The 6,865-nt window shown below is 44.1% G+C and overlaps 2 annotated features.

The window, feature by feature from the left end:
• Positions 515–1,014: an enhancer, noted in NCBI's record as "H3K4me1 hESC enhancer chr10:123455553-123456052 (GRCh37/hg19 assembly coordinates)". NCBI's record gives its function as "activates a minimal SCP1, AML or CMV promoter by ChIP-STARR-seq in primed H9 embryonic stem cells {active_cell/tissue: H9 hESC(primed)}" and the evidence as "EXISTENCE:reporter gene assay evidence [ECO:0000049][PMID:30033119]".
• Positions 1,015–1,516: an enhancer, noted in NCBI's record as "H3K4me1 hESC enhancer chr10:123455051-123455552 (GRCh37/hg19 assembly coordinates)". NCBI's record gives its function as "activates a minimal SCP1, AML or CMV promoter by ChIP-STARR-seq in primed H9 embryonic stem cells {active_cell/tissue: H9 hESC(primed)}" and the evidence as "EXISTENCE:reporter gene assay evidence [ECO:0000049][PMID:30033119]".

The following is a 6,865-nucleotide window of genomic DNA, read 5'->3' as shown; positions in this document are numbered from 1 at the left end:
ATTTCCTTAGTGAGGAAGACCAGAGACAGATGGGTGGCCACGCTCAGTACTAATTAAACCAGCAAAAGAGGGCTTGGTCTCCAGGGCAGGAAGAAGGTTCCTCTTCCCATTCCCTGAGGATGCACAACCCAGCTGTGCCACTCACTGGTCCAGTGACCTTTGGCAAGTCACTGAATCTCTCCCGGCCTCCATGTTCCCGTATGTAAAAGTAATAGACCCATCTCATAGGGGGTACGAAAAGGATTAAATGAGCTAATACACATTGAGGACTGAACATGGTGCTTGGCCGATAGACACGCTCAATAAATGTTATGATTATTGGAAGTCTCTATGGAAAAGCAGATCTTGGATGGATGAGCTTTGGATGTGTTCAGCCTTGAGCATGTTCTCTTAGGAATCAATGACATATTCTCCAGTAAGGCAGGCAGGTCCTGGGACTTGAATCTGTACGAAGGACCCAAGATAATGATGCAGGGGGGAGAAAGTGGAATAATAGTGGTGCCTGGGGGCAATGCAGCCAGGTGAAGATTCTACGCAGGACACTGGGCTTTTAGGACTAACTGATCCAAACTCGTTATGACTTTTCTCATTCATTCATTCACACAACAACTATTTACCAAGTGCATATGGGGGGTGAGGCACTGTGCTGAGTCCTGCAAATCCTGTGATGAACAAGAGTGGTACATTCCTGGAATGTCTGTCCTAACTGAGGAGGTGGGAGCAAGGGGAGGCAGACTGCAGATAAGTAGGTGAATACATGAACGAGATCATTTCAGAGAGTACTTTGGTCATCTATTGCTACATAGCAAACCACCCTAAAACAAAGTGGCTTAAAACAACGGTGACCATTTATTTGCTCATGATTCTGCAGTTTGGACAGGGGAATCTGCAGTTTGAGTGGGTCAGCTCACCTTTGCTCCACATGGCTTTAGCTGGGGGAGCTCAGCTGCGGCTGGAGGACTCATTTCCACAATGGCCCACTTGCTAGGTTGGTTGGCTGTGGCTGGCTGTTGGCTTGGGGCCCAGGTGGGGCAATAGGCCAGGGCCTTAGCCCTCCTTCGTGCCACCTCTCCACTTTGGTAGGCAAGGGCTTCTCACTGTCTAGGGAGCATTCTAAGACAATTATCACAAGAAACAAGAAGCCACCGAAGTATTCTAGGCATGGGAGTAATGCTGTTTGATGGGGAAATTTCAAAACTTCCCTGTTTCTTCGTTTTCTCATTTACAAAATGAGAGGCCTGTCTGAGTCACCATTAAGGTCTTTTCTAGCCAACTCACCTGAAAAAACACCAGCTCTTTGGTGTCTGTAGTTTCGGGATTTGAGCTTTTTCCACCGTCATTTCTCCCTAGGGCAATAAAGAAGCAGAAGAAGGCTTCCTGGACATTTTATGAGAAAAGGCACAAAGCCCATTAATAAAGGCATTGTCAATACATGTTCCAGGCTGGGCTGTGTGCCCCTTGTCAAGTACGCTCTGCATGAAGATAGATGTGAAAGGCCAATGCTTAAGCGAAGGCTCTTTTGAGCAAGAAGAGAATGTCAGTCATCAAGGAACTTCAGAACATACAGACCTTCTAGTCTAGGCAAGACCAACACACAAACCAAATTCCAGTGAGCTAGCGTTACCCAGTGCTCAGTGTTCTAGGGCGGGGGGCGTCAGAACAGAAGTCTTCTCTGGAATTTAATTAGATTGAGATGGTTGATATGCTTTTCAAGGAGGGAGCTGAGCATTTAAAATTATACCAAAGATATTTTTCCCGGGGTATCTGTTATGGGAGCCATGAACCTATCAAAATATGTGATAAGGAAGCTACTTGTGTCATTTTAAACTAGTTCAAACCAGCTAGGCTGCTCCCTGCTCTAAGCTGCTGGCTATCAGCTGTCACCCAGCCTGGATGTGAAACAGGCAGGTGGATAAGGAAGACATCATCTTGTTAGGATCTGCAGGAACAGGCAAGCAGAATGCCTATCATCATCACACATCTCCCAGGCAGGCTCAGGCTCCGGCATGAAGCACTGTCTTAGATCGGCTTTTTCATTTAAATGACATTTTTTTTTTTTTTGGAAAGGTTAGAATTTAATCCTCTCCCAGGATAGAGTTATTTCAGTTGCCACTGATCCTTCCGATAAATGAGAAGGGTTTCATTTTCCTTGCTACCAAGGTATCTAATTTTATAAAAGCCTTCAACAATGTAATAATTTATTGTCACAACAGGATGGCTGCGTGTAGGGACTGGTCTACTTTCTATTAATTTTCTAAATGAACCTCTTCTCAGCACTGAGAAGTTGTGCGTGCCTTTCTCTGTGGGTTTCATTAAGACCTGTTTGAAGTCATGATTGTAAGATCATTACGATGTTTTTAAAAGATAGTGGGTTTCAAAGAGTTGTACTTAGAAGACTTAAAAAGCTTCATCATCTTAATTCCTGTCCTCAGCAATTTTTTCAGAGCTATGATCTGGGTATGCAGTAATTGCTATCATTTTCCTCACAATTTCACACCCAACTTCTATTGTTCTCATTATACCTAGTGCTCTTCGGAAATGACTCATGTAATAAGAAATGTACAAATAAAAGAGAGCCTAGCATCTTCTAAGGAATCCGGAGCCACAGTAGAAGTGGCTGCATCTGTGTGCACGCACAAAAAATGGACTTTTATATATATCCTTAGAGAGGGGAAACCGAGGCAGGGGCATAGCGTAGTTTACATAACCATTTCTTACTTTCATGTTATGGTCATGGCAAGGGAAATGCCGACATGGTTATAAATTAGACATCGACAGATGAGTCAGTGAAAACTCTTGGAAATGTTGCCATCTTCGCAAGATGGGGACAGAGGAGAAGAAGGAAAAAGGAAGTCCATTCTGATCCTGAGGTAGAATTGGGGCTTTCTGCTAAGATGGAGGAGAGGGGAGGCAGGTTGAAGCAAAGTAGTCTTGGAAACAATGAAATTATTCTCACAAGTTCTCATTTACAAGGAAGTGTTATATTTGCATTATAATCATACCATTCTCAGCTCAACTCATGAGAGAAACTTCTGAAGTCTGCATTTTGCAGCAAAGTTAAATCAGAACTCAAAGACGTCAATTAACCTGTCCAAGCTCATAAGGAAAGACCACGGATGAGACCGGAAGTGGTGATATTCCTAGTCCTTGGCTTAGCTAGCTAGGGCTTTCTGCCCATGCTGGTGGGCTCTAGGGGAGAACAGGTGGTGTACATTGTATGAACTGCAGGAGCCAAGGACGTCTCTTCTCTCTTGTTGGGCCTGTGTTGATCACATTCAAGTATTTTTTTGTTTTGTTGTGTTTTGTTAAGAGACAAGGTCTCACTCTGTCACTTAGGCTGGAGTGCAGTGGTGTGATCATAGCTCACTGCAGCCCGGACCTCCTGGGCTCAAGTGATCCTCCCGCCTCAGCCTCCTGAGTAGCTGGGACTACAGGTGTGCGGCACAATGCCTGGCTATTCTTTTTTTTTTTTTTTTTTTGTATTTTTTTTGTAGAGACAGGGTTTCGCTATGTTACCCAGGCTGGTCTTGAACTCCTGGGCTCAAGAGATCCACCTGCCTTGGCTTCCCAAAGTGCTGGGATTACAGGCTTGAGCCACTGCACCCTGCCCCACATCCAAGTATTCTATAGCAAATACTTTGTTGGTTGAGCCAAATTTGAAACCCATTCAGGGCACATTCTTTCAAAGGTTTCAATTAAACCTAAGACTTTCGATATTGGAGTAGACACAACTCCCCTAGTCTAATGAGGGGTGGGATGGCAGTGTGTAGGATCCAGCACAAGAGATCGGCCTTTTGTAGAAAAACAATATTTTTGATAAAGTAGAAGCCCATCAAAGACATAAAGAGAAATTCCTTTCTGCCACTCAGGAAATTTTTTAAAAATGGAAAGTAGGAGAAAGTTGTGGAAAAATATCTTTGAGAAGGAGGAAGCTCTCTCCACTGCGCAGGCTTCCTTAAAAGCGTCTCGTACCCTTTCTGACATGCCAGCTATTGATGCTGCTGAGTCCACTCAAACCAGCCTGATTAACTGCTCTTCCACCCAAACTCCCCTCTTGGTCATTGTTTCATTTGGTCGACACTGTGGCTGTGCCCTGTGACCGCTGCATGCACGGAGCCAGTATTATAACCATCTTTTTGCAGTTTGCCCTTACGGCCTGTCACTCCCTAATCAGGAGTCTATGTTCAATGCAATGGTCTGGGAATGTCCCCCACCAAGTTGGTAGCCATATGCTTTTCTATTTTGGAGCACTGGAAGTTTCTGGTTCAGTAGTTCCCTTTTTAAAGGCGATACGATTTCCTATCATCTTAAGTAAGCTGGAAAGAATTTTTCGAATGAGAGAGAGAGAGAAAAGGCGCTATGTTGTACACGGTTGTTTTCTTTTTAAAAAACACACACTCAGACACACACAGCGAACTGTTCTGGAAACTCATGAGCTGAAGTCACAGACAAGGTCTCTGCTGGTAGAAGCCCTTCCTGCCCGAAAGGGACCGTTTGTTAATAGCTGTATTCATGAAAGTTAAAATTAAATTTCTGTGTGTTGATGTAAAGCCAGCTTTTCCCTCAGGGCTATTTATTTTAAAAATCAAAAATAGTAAAGGGTCCACAGCATAGAACATAACACAAGCAGATTGGGGTCTGTACTCTGAGCAAAGCTTCCTTTGTACTCGTCTCTGCAATTTAATGCCCTCCAGGAGTAACCTGGCAGTGTGCTGGTTTCCCCGTCCACATGTGGCAAGCTCAGGCAGTTTTTATGCTCACCTGCGAAGGCGATTGTTCAAGATTTTCATACCTGGCGTTAAAGGCTGTGATAAACAGTGCCGTCCTCAATGGATGTGCCACACAGGAAAGTGGGCTTGTAGGAGACTGTGATTGCGGCAGAATTGGTTTTGTATGTGGGATTGTTTTGCCTTTAGGGTTCGAGGTTGGGATTGATGCTGTGTTTTTTTTAAAATATCCACATTTTTTCATTAAAAAAAATTAAAATTGGCCAGGTGCAGTGGCTCATGCCTGTAATCCCAGCACTTTGGGAGGCTAAGGCGGGTGGATCACCTGAGGTCAGGAGTTCAAGACCAGCCTGGCCAACATGGTGAAACCCCATCTCTACTAAAAATACAAAAATTAGCTGGGCGTGGTAGTGGGTGCCTGTAATCCCAGCTACTCAGGAGGCTGAGGCAGGAGAATCACTTGAACCCGGGAGGTGGAGGTTGCAGTGAGCCGAGATTGTGCCACTGCACTCCAGCCTGGGCAACAAGAGTGAAACTCCATCTCAACAAAAACAACAACAAAAAAATTGAAATTAATGATTAAGAAGCAAAAGCGAAGGCTATTTCTAATAATGCCAATAAATAAAGGTAGAAAATGGCCCATACTCTTGCCAATGCAAAGGTTTAAAATCTTGATGTTTAATAATAATAATAGAGGTTGGGCGCTGTGGCTCATGTTTGTAATCCTAGCACTTTGGAGGGCTAAGATGGGAGGACTGCTTGAGGGCAAGCCTGGGCAACATAGTGAGACCCTGTCTATAAAAAAAATTTAAAAATTAGCCAGGCGTGGCGATGCACACCTGAAGTCCCACCTACTCAGGAGGCTGAGGTGGGAGGATCCCTTGAGCCCAGGAGGTTGAGGCTGCAGTGAGCTATGACTGTGCCACTGCATTCCAGCCTGGGCGACAGAGTTAGACTCTGCCTCTAGAAAAAATAATAGGAAGAAGTAGAAGAAATTTTTCTTCTCAGCTCCCTTGGTTAGAATAAAGGAGTAAGCAAGACTCCTTAAGATGTCTTTGAAAGATTCAAAAAGCCCTTTTAGTTATGGAAAAAAGAGCATCAGCAGCAGTGGGGAGCAAGATCAGTCCCGCATAGCCCTCTGTTATGCAACCTCAGCCAGCCCCCGCATAGACACAGCATGCCTGGCTGACCAGATTCTCACCTGATTTCTATGCTTGGACTTTTTATTTTTACCCAGAAGCGACCTGTAAAGCTTATGAAAGAATTTGCTCCTCTCCTTTCTCAGAAGCAAGTCATGTTCATTTCTTCCTTTGCAAATGCTAGTTAAGACATTTAACAGATGAAGTATTGGGAATCAGGCAATGTAAGAAGAAAATATTGATGAGCAAGTGTAAAGTGACTTCCTCCTGTTGGTGAGAAGCATATTTCATTTTTTTCTGGAAGAATGTATTAAATTTAAGCCGTCCCAGTAATAACTAAATGCTATCTACCTGTCAGTTGTATCAGTCGATTGCTTTAGAGTGTGGATTTCTATATTATCGCCCGTGGCTTCTCTCTAAAATCCTTTAGCGATGCTCCCACGTGGAATTGCATCTGCAAAGACCATTGACAGAGTTCTCAGCTCACAGCCTGGATACAAATACGCATGAATGAAAGACTTCTCTCTTTAGAGACTGCCTCTAAAGAACTCAGGTTCCTTACCCATGTTTTATCTAGGACTTTGCTCCAGAGCTGGGAGGGAAAGAAGAAACCCTCTTGGTGGCTGGGTGTCCCATTCTTTTGTCTCTCACTTGGGATCCATGATTAATCAGTGCATTGTACATAAGAGCGACCTCTATTTCTTTGGGCAAATGGAACCAAGTTGGAGCTGTAAAAGCAGGACCATCAATCAGTTTGTTACAATGGCAACTTTCTTGAAAGCACCTAAGCCCCGTAGGCATTCCTCCTAGTTAATGAGCAACAAGGTAGAGCCTAAATCACTGGCTTGGTAGAGGCCAAGTTAGAACCAGAAGATGGATATGCGAAAATCAGTCACCCAGAAAAATCCAAGCCACCCAAAAAAACACAACCAACTTCAAAGGCCTCCTGCCCCTTCTCTTACGCAAGGTTTTGCTGGCTGAAGCATTTGTATGAAAAGG

Source organism: Homo sapiens, chromosome 10 (genome assembly GCF_000001405.40).
Source record: "Homo sapiens chromosome 10, GRCh38.p14 Primary Assembly".
Classification (NCBI taxonomy): Eukaryota; Metazoa; Chordata; class Mammalia; order Primates; family Hominidae; genus Homo; species Homo sapiens.
The sequence above is the reverse complement of the archived record's forward strand: the minus strand, read 5'-3'. Positions and strand labels throughout refer to the sequence as shown.